The sequence below is a fragment of the Homo sapiens genome, chromosome 5 (assembly GCF_000001405.40).
Source record: "Homo sapiens chromosome 5, GRCh38.p14 Primary Assembly".
Classification (NCBI taxonomy): domain Eukaryota; kingdom Metazoa; phylum Chordata; class Mammalia; order Primates; family Hominidae; genus Homo; species Homo sapiens.
The window spans coordinates 110,715,486-110,730,894 of record NC_000005.10 but is presented as its reverse complement, the minus strand read 5'-3'; the positions used below and the strand labels follow the sequence as shown (position 1 = coordinate 110,730,894).

General features: G+C 36.9%; 1 protein-coding gene across 20 annotated transcripts in view; it reads left to right on the top strand.

The window, feature by feature from the left end:
• The window catches only part of TMEM232 (transmembrane protein 232), a 351,524-nt gene that overhangs the window by 8,060 nt on the left and 328,055 nt on the right, over positions 1–15,409 (top strand). For 16 of the 20 annotated variants that reach the window (XR_001742182.2, XR_001742181.2, XR_007058620.1 and 13 more), the window contains exons 3-4: positions 4,097–4,268; positions 10,019–10,369. Coding sequence is in view for 2 of the 20 variants with exons in the window: in XM_011543555.3 (XP_011541857.1) it covers positions 10,302–10,369 (68 nt within the window). In the remaining 18 variants the exon portion in view is untranslated. Of the gene's footprint in view, positions 1–4,096; positions 5,304–10,018; positions 10,370–15,409 lie in introns of those variants that run through there. The other 4 variants (XM_047417493.1, XM_006714670.4, XM_011543556.3 and 1 more) reach the window with 3 other exon arrangements.

Sequence of the window (15,409 nt, the reverse complement as noted above, 5' to 3'; positions counted from 1 at the left end):
TGTTGGGAAGGCGTGATTGGTTTTTAAATGTGAGGACATGAGATTTGGAGGGGCCAGGGGCAGAATGATCTGGTTTGGCTGTGTCTCCACCCAAATCTTAACTTGAATTATATCTCCCAGAATTCCCGTGTATTGTAGGAGGGACCTGGGGGAGGTAATTGAATCATGGGGGCCAGTCTTTCCTGTGCTATTCTCGTGATGGTGAATAAGTCTCACAAGATCTAATGGGTTTATCAGGGGTTTCTGCTTTTACTTCCTCCTCATTTTTATCTTGCTTTCACCATGTAAGAAGTGCCTTTCACCTCCCGCCATGATTCTGAGGCCTCCCTAGCCATGTGGAACTGTAAGTCCAATTAAACCTCATTTTGTTCCCAGTTTTGGGTATGTACTTATCAGCAGCATGAAAACAAACTAATACAGTATCAAATAGAAATTATTTACAATTAAGTTATACACTCCATGGCAAAACTAAACTGATATCACATAATATCAAAAATAGTTAAGAAATTGTCATCTAGAAAGTTGTTAAATTACAAAATCAATATTAATTCTAATGCAACAGTTCAAACTGATAAATATTTTTTCATGGCTATAGTTTTTTCCTATGATTCACTTTTGGTGTCAGATTGTTTTCCCTGGAAAATCAATTCTAATCTAGGAAGGTAATTGCAGTATTATGGACTAATTTGAATCGTGTCAGTGAAGATGCTAATAGCCTTGATTCCAAGCAACTGGAGGACTGAAGCTTAAGGTTTGAGAAATATGATTGAAGAAAATATAATGCATATTTTAAATTGTGTAACTTACTAATAGTTTCATCTCTTTCCTGACTTTTTAATGAGTACTCACTAGGTAGATTTCTCTAGGTAAAATTTTGATAAGTGCTATATAAGAGCACTCAGAATGCTAAGGAAACATTGAAGGATGTCTTCTAAGTTATCCTGAGAGAACAGTCATTGCGTTGGAAGGCTTCTAAAATGAGGTGTCTTCCCAGGTGAATGTGTCACTTTGGTTGAAGATAACAGAAACTCAATTTGTTACTTTAAACAGAAGATTTGACAGGATAATCAGGGTTTATAGAATTGATGGAAGGCTGTAAGTCAAGGATTGAAATGGACAGGAAAAAAAAATGCTGTTCTAGAGGACCAAGAAGCAGGAGGTACCACAACTGTCTTTTGGCAGGAAAATCTGTAAGGGTGCTGCTATCATGGCCCAAGGCACAGTTATTGCTACTTTCATCTTGATATTATCTGCTAAAAATTCAAATTCTTAAACTAGAACACATACTTGGCCAAACTTCTGTCATATTCCAACACAGAGTTCTGAGAAAATATAATCTGCCGTTTTTGGCTTTTGTAGTGGATGATGAAACACCACTTCCCATTCATATTACATGAAGAATTCCCCAGGTAGCATGGAAGGGTGATTGGATTCTCCAGATCCAAAATGTTGACAAATGTCTAACATCCGAGTCTTGATCAAGAGTAAGCATTTACCTGGTGTGTGGTTATTAGGGAGCAGGGGGTGGTATGCGTTTGTGTGAGTTTGTGGCAGCAGTTGAGGAGTGAGTGGGCAAGTATATTTTCAGACAGAGGAAGAGCATGCATGAGGTTATTAAGAAACGAGAGCTCATGATATGTTTAGGAAACTTAAAATATTTTTTAATTGATTACATAGCAGTGGAAAAAGTTTTAAAAATAAAGAAGACTGGGCCAGGCACGGTGGCTCACGCCTTTAATCCCAGCACTTTGGGATGCCAAGGTGGGTGGATTACCTGAGGTCAGGAGTTCGAGATCAGCCTGGCCAACATGGTGAAACCCTGTCTCTACCAAAAATACAAAAATTACCCAGGCGTGGTGGCAGGCGCCTGTAATCCCAGGTACTCGGGAGGCTGAGGCAGGAGAATCGCTTGAACCCAGGAGGTGGAGGTTGCAATGAGCTGAGATCGCTCCATTGCACTCCAGCCTGGGGGACAAAAGCGAGACTTCATCTCAAAAAATAATAATAAAATAAAATAAAAAAGACTGGTAAAAAAAAAAAAAGCAGAAAAAAACTGGGCAAGTAGGCAATGATATAGTTTCTGAAAGCATAATTGTGCCATACTAAGGGGTTAGGATGGTTTTGACATGCTTATTTTCCTAATTGCTAATTAATGGCCATTTTAGGATTATATATATATAGGTATATATATAATAATTTGAAAAAATTAGATTTGTCTTGTCAAAACTTCAATGTAGATGACTAATTAAAGGGAGAAAGGGGAGGTATGACTTTATTAGATTTATTTTTCTTACATAAATTTTCTAAATATTCTTGTCATTTTTTAAAATCATTGTGGGTCTCCTATTAGCTTAATATTATTGTGACTCTAAGGTTATACCAATATTATCTTAAAATTATTTAAAATTATTTCCTGTTTTAAGCTTCATTCCTCTGAGATTTATTGTTGCTATGGTATGAGATAGTAGTTCAGATTTATTTTCTTTCAAATTGTGCTCAGCCTCTGTACAGTTTTTCCCCACTGAGTTAAAATGGCAAATTTATCATATATAAATTTTATGCTTTTTCTGTAATCTTTCATTCTACTGATATATATATAAATAAAATCAGTAGATACATATATAAAATCAGTAGATATATTTAGAATAAGTAGATATGTGTAATATATATATATATGTATTTGTGAATTCTTCCTTATATAAACTTGTTCTGTTGTCTTCACTGTAGAATCGATGGGGTGACTTTTTTTCTCTAAACATGCTATAGTTTCAACTGATTCTTATATTATGGAGAAGAATTTTTTATTCGGCCTTCCTTTTATTCCTTTTTAATTCAATCTTCATTTGATTATGAATAACCTGGTTAACAGTTTGTATTTTTTTATGCTTTTAACACTTTTCTAGATCTCTTGAAATTAAAACAAGCAAGCCCCCAGGCTATTATTAAATACCACAGTCTTTTCATTTTTATTTTATCTGGATTATGGTAAGCACTGTTGATATTCTAGGATTTGTTCTCTCACATATGTAGTTTATAGTCTTTGTCAATTTCACTTTTCATTATTACCTTTAACTTACTGATCTTCTAGGAGTGATACGTCAGAGAAGCCTGAGATCACATATTGTAATTTCTGTTTTAAACATAAAAATGCACTCAAAAAACAAAAAAACTTAATTCCGAATCGAAGTAGTTCAAGTTAAATTTTCTTTCAAAGTTCTAATTTTTAAAGGCAGGTCATTTCACAGGACAATCCCTGTATATTACGTTTTAGTATTTTTTTTTTCTTTAGATGGAATCTCGCTCTGTTTCCCAGGCTGGGGTGCAGTGGCATGATCTCGGCTCACTGCAACCTCCATCTCCTGGGTTCAAGCAATTCTCCTGCCTCAGCCTCCTGAGTAGCTGGGATTATAGGTGGGTGCCACCACGCCTGGCTAACTTTTGTATTTTTAGTAGAGACGGGTTTCACCATGTTAGCCAGGATGGTCTCGAACTCCTGACCTCGTGATCCGCCCACCTTGGCCTCCCAAAGTGCTGGGATAACAGGCATGAGCCACTGCGCCCGGCCTACGTATGAATTTAATCATAAATGCCCTTCCCCATTCTTCCATATAGTATTTTACACTGGTGAACCTTTGTAAAATATATACAGTTGCTCGTTAGTAGACATAGGAATTCTACAAGGATTTTTAAAGGACTTATATTAGATAATTCTATTGCATACTACCTTTAAAAAGAGGCGTTCTTTTGTGTTTAAATTCGCCCTCTGGTGTTTAGTACATAGCAGAACATTCTAGGTGCTTTGTTTACTCACTGACGGGTGCTGAGGACACTGACTGCTCCAAATTTTCTATGTAAAAGGAACTTACGAACGGCAATTTAATTTAAAGACATAGCTACTTTTGGTATGATAGGCGTGCTGGTTTGTTTTGGGGAAGCAGCATTAAGACACTGAGGAGACATTAAAGCACTGTGAAGCCGCTTCTTGCCGTGGCTTCTTGCAGGATATGCAAGTATGTACAATATTCGAAACAAATCATTACTATGTTCTTTAAAAACGAATAAAGGTCTTTCACACAACATTGCATTTATTCTTTAGAAATTGAACACAAATGTGGTGGAGACGGGACAGGGCAGGTGGAAATTCACTTATAAGTCCTGATTGGCTAAGCCCTGGTCACGAGACCGTAAAAGAGCAACGTCTGTCTCAGAGCGACTCCCACAGCGTCCTTAGCAACCAGCCTTGGTTCCCAGCGGCTCAGAGCGCAGCGGTGAGTGATTAAGAGGTCCTGCTTCAGATGATTTGGGAGCTCAGGTTATTGTCATATTCACCATCCTAGGGCAACTGAAAGACCCACAAAGATCCTCACAGGGGAATACTGAGCCTCCTTTCTCAGGGTGCCATAGCTTTGTTAGAAGAAACACTACTCGCAACCCCAGGCTGGGCCTGCTATCTGGGCCCCTCCTAAGAGTCTAAGCAGTCCATCCTGGAAAAGCCACCAGGTCGTTTGATAGGGGAAGCTTTTTTGTTGGGGAGAATAAAGGAGGTGGGAACTTTCTTATTGCTATGAATAGGGAAATTCATTTAATCTCCCCTGGACTCGCTTATCCTGGGGCAACCTTGAATTCAGAAGACCAGTCTTCACACATCCTCTGTGGTTGGTGAAATTGCACCTTTTTGATTTTTATTTATTTATTATTTATTTAGTATGAAGACTCTTGGACTTCAAAAGAGAAGGTTCAAAAATTTGGCGCTCTGTGTGTGTGTGTGTGTGTGTGTGTGTGTGTGAAAGAGAGAGGGGGGTATATTGGAGATGTGTAATAAAACAATTTTTAAAAGCCGTTAATCTTGAGAAAAATATCCAAGTTGTCTATTAGAAAAATTTCTAGGAGGGGATAAGACTGTAGTAAGAGTCTCTTATTTACCTTACCATCTTAACAGTATGTCTGAACAAATTCTATCATTTGGTTGGTCAAATAATTTGCTTCCTCAGGTTAGAGTCTAAATCTTATATTCTCTAATGCATGTTACCTTTCCAAAGTCTTGATATAATTTTAATATTATCTGTTTTTCAGAAATTGTCTTTTAAAGTATACAGTTTCAACCTCATTTTTATTGGAACTTTAAAAAAATACATGAAGAATTAATAGTAAAACTAAAAAAAGAAATCTGGGTCTGTGCCAGGTTGCAGATGAACTGCCAAGCACCCAGGCAGACTGCTGGAGCCATTTCATGAGCTGAAACATTTCTCTTTAAAGTATAAACATTCTTGGTTTGGGTAATCCACATACATACTTGATTGAAGGTAGCAGATTTTTATTTCACTAAGACCTATTCTGCATGGACCCTTATGATCTTAATGAGTAGTGCTATATTCTTGCTGAACGTCTGATTCATTATCAGAATCATTCATTGTTATGATAAATTTGATAAATGTTCCTGTCTTGAAGTTCATTGTCCATCCAGAGCTCCTGGTAAAGTGTCTGCTCACAAATGCTTAACATTTTCCAAAATGTGTCCTGTATGTAGTTCTAGGAGATGATGTTCTAAAGATTTCTTTAGTCAATAAATTTTAAAGTACTACATGTCACACTGCTACTCAGAGAGATGTAGAGTATATATGAGAATATTAACACTGAGAAATCTTAGTATATGCAAACCTACTTATTTTTGTCTAATCCAGTGGTTTCTCAAACATTTCACAACAGAAAGCTTTTCGAGGTAGTTTCATCCCAAGAAGCAGTATTTTACAGAATGTATTTTAGAAATTAATGTTCTAAACTATATATCACACTTTTTATTTTTGCTTATATTTCCATAAAACCAAATGAATTCATTTCTTTAAAATGTTTCCTGCTGATTCATTACAATACCAAAGAAAACAAATCTCTTTAAAAAATATACCACCTTAGTAAATTATTTTATTCCTATTACTTTCATTGCGTTTTCAACAGTAATATAATAAATCACTTGCTAAATCTATATCGACTTTAGGATTACTAGCTTCTTACTATAACATGGCAAGTTTTTTTGTTGAAACCATATTTTTAACATTATAATATTTATTATGTAGCAGGTGCTCTATACCTATCTGGTGAATGAATAAATAAAAGATAATTGATTTCTTTTTTAGAGTTCCTTTCTGCAGAAGACTAGTCATTTAACTATTTGGTGAATGAATAAATAAAAATAGTTGATTTATCTTTTAGGATGCCTTTCTGCAGAAGGCCAGTTAAATGATCTTAACAGTAGTCCACCAGAAAAATGATGAGAACCTAATCTCATGGCAGTGGCCGTGATCTAGGATTTGATTCCTGATTGTTTTGGGAAGTTATAGAGAGCATGGAATTGAGGATAACTCTGAAATTTCTAGCTTGTCAGTTTGAGTGATTATATTAACTGAGATTTATTAAAATAATACTGGATTAAGAGCAGTGTTTAGGGACCTGAAATGAGAAAATAACAGGTTAAGTTATACACAGTTTAGATGTTTCAAGTACTCGTCTTTGAGCTGGGTGCCCAGAATTCAGTTGGAAAACAAATCTAGAGCTCAAGAGAGGTCAAGATTGGAGGCAGCTGCTTGGGAGTCATTGTTCTACAGTGTGGTTTACAGTATAGGGATGGATGGCATCAACTCCAGAGAGGTGAGAATATGAAGAGAAGGGTATTCTGGCCACAGGACTGATGTGAATATCGAAAGATATAAAGTATGTGAAAGTACTTTGCAAACAATAAAGTCCCATGCAAGAGTTATTATTATTACATCCCAGAAGGCTTACTGAAGAAATAGGTTTGAACTAGGGTTTTCAGGAAGGTGTGAGATATCCTAGGATTGTATTTGATGGAATATAACAGAAACTCGTCTCCAACAACTTGACTGTGGTTCATCTCTAATGCCATAAATGTTCCAGGCTTCTGTCTTTGTGTCCCATCATCTTTGTATGTGGTTTTCATCTTCCTGGTCATCTCTTGATAGCAAGGTGACTGCTCTATCACCATTCTTATGTCTATCATCCAGGGAGGTAAAAGAAATTGGGAAGGGACAAGGAAGAAGGTACTGTGCCTCTATCATGAAAGTAAACTTTACCAACATCCCCTACTAAGCTTTAGCTAGAACTCATAGTTGCAAAGAAAGCTTCAGGAGAAATGTTTTTTAGCCAGAGACTTTGCTGCTCCAAACAAAATTAGGGTTGCTTTAATAAAACAATGGAAGAGTGAATATTGGATAGGAAGCTAGTGGTACCAAGAGATATAGCAGTCCCTAGGAGTATAGATGATAATGTATATAGGGAGAGTTGTGTAAACAGAAGTAATGCTTTGCTAATAGCTAACAGTCTATACAGATTTTGAGATTTTCAGGATACTCATTTAGAGTCTAATTTAAACATAATGGTACCCATGGATAATAATCTCAGTAGGCCCCCAAATATAAACAACTTGTGATCAATGTACTAGCCAAGAAGTAGCCATGATTTATTATATTTGAACTCTATTACATTGATACAAAAATATAATAGATATTTTGCCAAACAGGAAAGCACACAGCCCCACCTGTCTCTTACATTTGAGGTATGTTTCTGATTGAACACATAGACTTCAGGTTATGTGTCAACTGGTCTAATGCCTTAAAGGAATTTCAATTAAAAACAATAACCACTGCCAAAACTCACAAAGGAGAAAATAGATAATCTGAATAGACCTATAACTATTAAAGAAATGGAATCAATAATTAATAGCCTTCCAAAACAGAAAGTACCAGGCCCAGATAGGTTCACTGGTGAATTTTACCAAACATTTAAGGAAGAAATTATATCAATTATCTGCAAGTTTCTTTCAGAAGATAGAAGCAGAGGAAATACTTCCTAACTCATTCTTTCAGGCCAGCATTACCCTAATGCCAAAATAAGACAAGGACATTATAAGAAAAGAAAACTACAGACCAGTCTCTCTCATGAAAATATATCCAAATAGCCTCAACAAAATATTAGAAAATTGAATTCAACAGTAAATACAAAGAATTAACTCTGTGTCTACTTCTGCTCCTGGATTTGTTCACTTCCACTAACATACAGACAGATACACAAACAAGCATATAAAAAGTACTATGGCTGTGGTAGCCAGCCTCTAAGATGCTCCCAATAATCTTTGCCTCTTGACATTCACACCCTTTTGTAGCTCCTACTCACATTGAATCATGGCCCTTCTGTATGACCAATAAAATGTGGTGGCAGTAAAGTAATGATACAGGCTTTGCAAGGCTAGGTATAAAGGCATTTAAGCTTTCATCTTGGTTTCTTGGATTGTTCTCTCTGGGGGAAGCCAGCCTCCATGAGAGCACACAGGAAGCTCTGAGGAGACGTCCACATGAAGAGGAACTGAGGCCTGCTACAACAGCCAGTGTTTACTTGACAGCCGTGTAGTGAACAAACCACCCTGGAAGTGGATCCTACAATCCTAGTCAACTCTTTAGAGGACAGGACTGACTGAACTTAGATGACTAGCTGACTGACTGACTGAACCTGCAGCTGCCATTTGACTGCAACTTCATGAGAAACCATGAGCCAGTTATACCCAGCCATGCCACTAACAAATTCCTAACCCAGAGGAACTGTGAGAGATAATAAATGGCAGTGAGTTTTGGAGTGATTTGTTATACAAATTAGATAATTAATACAACAGCCAAGCCTTTTGTGAGTTTATTTTTCTAAAGATATAGGGGAAAAGGTGATTTCATTGTAAGAACTTTATTTCTGCCATGTCCTTTCTTCTCTCATTCTGTCTTCCATTTCCACCCTACCACATCTCTATCTTCTGCAGCCTCCCACTTAACCTCCAACCCCTGACAATGTTTTATGTGATATCAATAAAATACTGCCCTGGAATTCAGCACTCTAATGGTTTGGCTGCTGCAGAAATAATATTTTTATGTGTTTTAAGAAGTGATTCTAACTATCAGGGGCAGTGCCACCTGCTAGGCAACATAAATGCATGGATGTGCTTCTGCTTCTCTCCCATAGCTGCTTCTTCTAAGATTCCTTTTTCTAAGCCACCCTGGGATTCTGATGAATAAATTTATATTTTTCCTTCTTGTTTAAACTATGTCTTTCTTATTCGGATGTCTAATATACAAAACAGGTAAAAATGGAGCTGCTCTGGTCAGTCTAGGGAGGCAGACGCACCCCCTCTTACTTCCCAAACACTAACACACACAGATATATATATACACACACACACACACACATGATATGCAGACTCACACATCTCACACATATGATAGCTTATGAGTCATTTCTGTGGAGCATAGCTTGAAATTCAAAATTCTAGATCAGTATTTCTCAAGGCAGGAGAGGTTGTGATACTGTTATCTTGAGAACAACAGTTCTTACTTATGAGGTACTCTCTCGGAATTGAGGAATATATTTAGCAACCCTGGACCCTGGGCACTGAATGTCCGTTATCAGAACCCTAGACATTATGACAAACAGAAGCACATCCATGCATTTCTAGATGTTACCTAGAAGGTAGTATTGCCCATGATAGAACCACTTCTTAAAAGACGCACAAAAAGCTTGTTTCTGTAGCAGCCAGACTATTAGAAAGCTGAATGCCAGGGCTACATTTTATTGGTGTCACACAAAATCTATCAATGTTTGTTGTAATGTCATATATTTATATTGAGTGTAAAAGACTGCCCCATGAAACTGTTTATTATTTTTACATTCAGGAGGTTATTCATTACATTATATCCTATCTTCTTTATGATGGCTTTAGAAAAATTGTCTTATAACTTTACCGGGAATAACTTTTTCCCCTGCAACTAGTTTGTTTTTAAGCAGTAAATTGTGGCTTTCAGCATTATTTTAAGATGAATGTATACTATACCTTTAGCAAGTGAGTATATATGAATTTGTGGCATAGATTTTGTATGTTCATCTCACTATATCTCACTTTCTTACCCTATTTTGTTCTTACCTATTTTTTCCAGTTTAAAATTTAATTTTCTCTTATATTTATTTTTAGAACTCATCTGAAAGACTTTTATAAATGACAGTGCATCAACAGTTGAGCATGTGTTAACGTGGAGTGGTATATTAATAGAAAGAAGCATAATATAGCACAAAGCACTCAGTCAAGCTTCTAGTCCAGAAAGCGTATGATTTTATCTGAAGTAATTTGGAATAAATTTACTTGAAGGCAAGGTATTCTATATGAGAAGTTAGGCCAAATGTTGATTTGGACAAAAGTGAATGTAGTAAAATGGGAAAAAAATCCTGAAGGCTGGCATCAAAATAACTCTTAAACAATGAACTATTACAGAGATTTCCACTTGAGTCATGACTCATGCCATCTTCCCCTCAAGTGCAACATAAGGTAAGCTGAACTTTGTGCAGATGTGGCCAAGATGATGGGACTCCCTCTCCCCTAAGCTTCCAATCAAGGGTTACTGTATCTTATTAGTAGGGGCAGTCTGCCAGCATTTCTAATCCCCTTCAACTCAAATTTAAAAGACTAATTTCCTGGTGATTGTGGCTGAGAGGCTGGGGGCTCCCTTACTTCACCCAGTCTTCTTCATGCATAAGAAAGAGGCTTTATATTAGGTTCAGCAAGACAAGAATATTGATACCCTAATTTCCCTCGTTGCAACTTATTATAGGGGAGAGGTTTCACAAGAGAAGAGGCAAGCCAAGAAGACTGGAAGCTACTGCTCTGCTCAGCTCCTAGAATAGTGGCTTGGAGACTGCCCAGGGGAAAAGGCAGTCTGTAAGAAAAAACTCTGAAATCCTCCCCAAAGAAACTAACTTTATTTGAAACATAAGGTTCAAGCCTAATGCTGCTCTTGAAAATAATTTCTTCTCTAAATTAAGAGCAACAAGCTGAACTTCAGGACATCTAGTTCACCAGCGAGAACCAGAACAAGGGACAAGTAAGAAGAGCCCTTAAAACTGTCTCTGCCTGAATTTAATTGGATCAGACTGCTGAGCAATTTATACTCTAGAGCATTTTTTAAAACAATAGAGTAATTAGTTGATAATTACTGGAGGCTAATGGGCTGGCATGTAACACAGAATGAGGCACACAGTTTAACAGAGAGAGTAGAGAAAAAGACAAAGAGAGCCTTGCCAAATTCACTGTCATCCCAGGGTGACGGTGTGAATGCCCAAGGCTGTACCCTCTGAAGAGTGGCATCAAAAGCTTCACAGAGTGGAACAAATATAATTTACTAAAATATCCTAGCCAAGTCACAAAATAAGCAAACAATATCAAAAACAAGCTCAGAAGAGGGAGGAAGCAAATCTGTACCCAGAATTGCTACAATATATTCCCTAAAATAACCAATTTCCAACAAAAAATTTTAAGACATCTAAAGAAGCGAGAAAGTGTGACTCATATACAGGAGGGGGAAAAAAGCTGCAAAAACTGCCTGGAAAGAGGAGCAGATGTCAGATTTATTAAAGACTTTGAAATAGCCATTACAAATACGTCCAGAGAACTAAATGAAACCATGTTTAAAGAGGTAAAGGAAGATATGAACAGAATGTCTCAAATGGAGAATGTCAGTAAAGAGAAAAGATTGAAATTTTACACACATGCATAATTATATATGTGTGTGTGTGTATATATATATACAGCACATATATATGCAGCACATGACTGTGTGTGTATATATACACATATATACATATATACACATATATATACATATATACATGTATATACATATGTATATACACACACGCAGTCATGTACTTCATAGTATTTCAGTCAAAGATGATTGCATATATGACAGTGGTCCCATAAGACTATCATGGCAAACCATAAAGCCTAGGTGTGTAGTAGGTGCTACTATCCAGGTTTGTGTAAGTAGACTCTTTGATGTTTGCACAATGGCAAAATCGCCTTACAACTCATTTCTCAGAACATATCTCCATCATTAAGTGACATATAACTATATAAATGAACTATATTCCATGAAATAAATGGAAATTCTGGAGTTGAAATTTATTAGAGGGTCTCAATCATAGATTTGAGCTGGCAGGCTAAATAATCAGTGTACTTGAAGATACAATAATAGAGTTGAGTGCATCCAAAGAAAAGAGAAGAAACAAAATGAAAAAAATGAATAGAACCCTTAGAGAAATATGGTAACCCTTAAGCACACCAACTTTCATGTAATGGGAGTGTTAGAAGAGAAGAGAAAGAGAAAGGAGTATAAAAAATATTCAAGGAGATAATGGCAAAAAACTTCACAAACACTAAAAAAAAATTAATCTTCACACCTAAGAAGCTCAGTGAACTCCAATTAGGATAAATACAGAAGAAATCCACTCTCAGACGTTTCATAGGAAAAATGCTGGAAGCTAACTGCAAAGAGAAAATCTGGAAAGCAGCAAGAGATAATGACTCATCACATACAAAGAACATAAATAAGATTAACAGCTATCCAGAAATGCTTCTCACTCATCACATACAAAGAACATAAATAAGATTAACAGCTATCCAGAAATGCTTCTCATCAATATAATTTTGCAATTTAATATTTTCGCCTTAAGATGTATTCTGTTTTGAAAACTTCATAATAATCCTGGTATGGATACAGTTCTTAATCACCTATCTGAAAGCCTTGGAGGTAGACTTTTGGAATTCAGATTTTTTCTGATTTTTAAAATGATAACACAGAATATCCCCAATGAAGTCTATCTAGCACGGCATTCTATAATCAAATACATAAACATATTTGCAAACAAATATATGTAGATTTATACTAAATTTGACAAATATGTATAATTTTAATATTACAGTTTATATAGAAATAAACTGACAAGTGAAATAATTGGATAATTAAAGACCAAAAATATTCAGATCCTTCTTAGTTCTAAGAAAAATATTCAATATACTTTTAAACACATACAGATTTGAACTAAGTTAAAGACCTTGTATTAGTCCATTCTCACTGCTATACACATACTACCTGAGACTGGGTAATTTATAAAGGAAAGAGGTTTAATTGACTCACAGTTCCACATAGCTGGGGAGGCCTCAGGAAACATGCAGTTGTGGCAGAAAGCAAAGGGGAAGCAAGGACCTTCACATGGTGTCAGGAGAGAGAAGAGTGAGGAGTGAAAGGGGGAGAGCCCCTTATAAAACCATCACATCTCCTGATAACTCCCTCATTATCATGAGAACAGCATGGAAGAAACCACCCCATGATCCAGTCACCTCCCACCAAGTTCCTCTCTCAACATGTGAGGATTATGGAGGTTACAATTCGAGATGAGATTTGGGTGGGGACAGAGCCAAATCATATCAGACCTGTATATAAACACAATGACTTAAATCGTACCTTAGGTTGCTTAAGGACATTGGGCAAGAGGACACATCAGTTTTGCTATCTTTGTTGTCAGATGGGATTTGAGCAACTTATGATGGGATGGAAGCAGAATTACTGAGTAATGAGTTAATACTTTGATAGTTGGCCTTTTAAATGACTTTTTCAAGGATCATGTCAAATCAGCATGGGTCCAAGTATTAGCAACAGAGTAAATGGCGTCATTAAAACTGAACTCATTCAGATCTTGGATTCTTGGACCTCTGTTAACTACAGCTAGCCCACAGTTAAAGAAAACTTTATACTTTTATTAATAGAATATAAAATTTCATGGCCATATGTCTTTGTCACGGATGTTACATTGTGTGTGTGTATGTGGCGGGGGGTGGGGTAACAAATACTGAAAATGTTACTTTTTACAAGAGGACCAGGAGAGGATATAAAGGGCAGTTGTCTGAGAAGAATAAATTTTACAGTTTTTGTTCTAGTCCAGATTGCCTATAATGACCTCATGTCCCTGGTACAAAGTGGTCTTTCAACTAGTCTAGAAATACTCTGATTATCCCTACTTTATTGTCTGCTTAGTGATGGATAGACAAATTGCTGTATACTTCATACACTGTGTGCATTGGCTTTTTGTAATTACTGTCCAGTTTATCCTGTACCATTGCTACACACACAAAAAAGCCAACCAGTGCTTAGTGTCCTTAAAACCTGTAGCTTTTCTTCCTCAGTCATGGTTAATGTTCTTCTAAAACACAGCACCAGTACAGAACTGTTTCTTCAAGTTTAGGACTAAGGTTTAGTTGGCAAAAAGAGTGACAATCTGTAAAACAGGGATCCCCATAACCCTGGCCACAGACTAATGCCGTGGCCTGTTAGTAACCACAGCAAGAGGTGAGTGGTGAGTGAGCAAATGAAGTTTCATTTGTATTTATAGCCACTCCCCTTTGCTTACATTACCACTTGAGCTCTACCTCCTGTCAGATCAGCAGCAGCATTAGATTCTCATAGGAGTGCAAACTCTATTGTGAACTGTGCATGCAAGAGATCTTGGTTGTGAGCTCCTTATGAGAATCTAATGACTGATGATCTGTCACTGTCTCCCATCGCCACCAGATGGAACTGTCTGGTTGCAGGAAAACAAGCTTAGGTCTCCCACTGATTCTACATTATGGGGAGTTGTATAATTATTTCATTATTACTTACAATGTAACAATAATAGAAATAAAGTGCATCGTAAATGGAATGCACTTGAATCATCTGAAAATAATTCTCCCACCCCATCTGTGGAAAAATTTTCTTCCACCAAACTGGTCTCTGGTGCCAAAAAGATCGGGGCCCCCTGCTGTAAAATATTTGAAGAAATGTATTCTGAGCCAAATACGAGTACCCATGGCCCATGACACAGTCCTCAGGAGACCCTAAGAATATGTGCCCAAGGTGGTCAGGGTACAGCTTGGTTTTATACATTTTAGGGAGACATGAGGCACCAATCAAATACAATTAAGATATACATTGGCTTGGTCTAGAAAGGTGGGACAACTCAAAGCTGGGAGTGGTGGGTTCCAGGACATAGGTAGATTTAAAAATTTTCTGATTGGCAATTGGTTGAAAGAGTTATTATCAGTAGAAAGGAATGTCTGGTTTATAATAAGAGGTTATAGCGACCAAAGTTTTATCATGTAGATGAATTCTCCAGGTAGCAGGCTTCAGAGAGAATAGATTGTAAATATTTCTTATCAGACTTAAGGTCTGTGTTGATGTTAAATGCTGGCCAGCTTTCCCTGCATTCCAAAAGGGAGGAGGTATAATGAGGCATGTCTGACCACCCCCTGCTTTCCATCATGGCCTGAACCAGTCTTTTAGGTTAACTCTGGAGTGCCCTGGCTGAGAGGAAGGAGTCCATTCAGATGGTTAGGGTCGAAGCGGGCTTAGAATTTTATTTTTGGTTTGCAGCTTTCATCAGGTATCACCTTAGAAAATGTATTAATGTAATTGTCAGCAGAATGTATTTTCATAAAGATATTCGGATATTTTATATCAAGAAGCTTCCTAACTTTCTACAGCCAGTCTTTTGAATA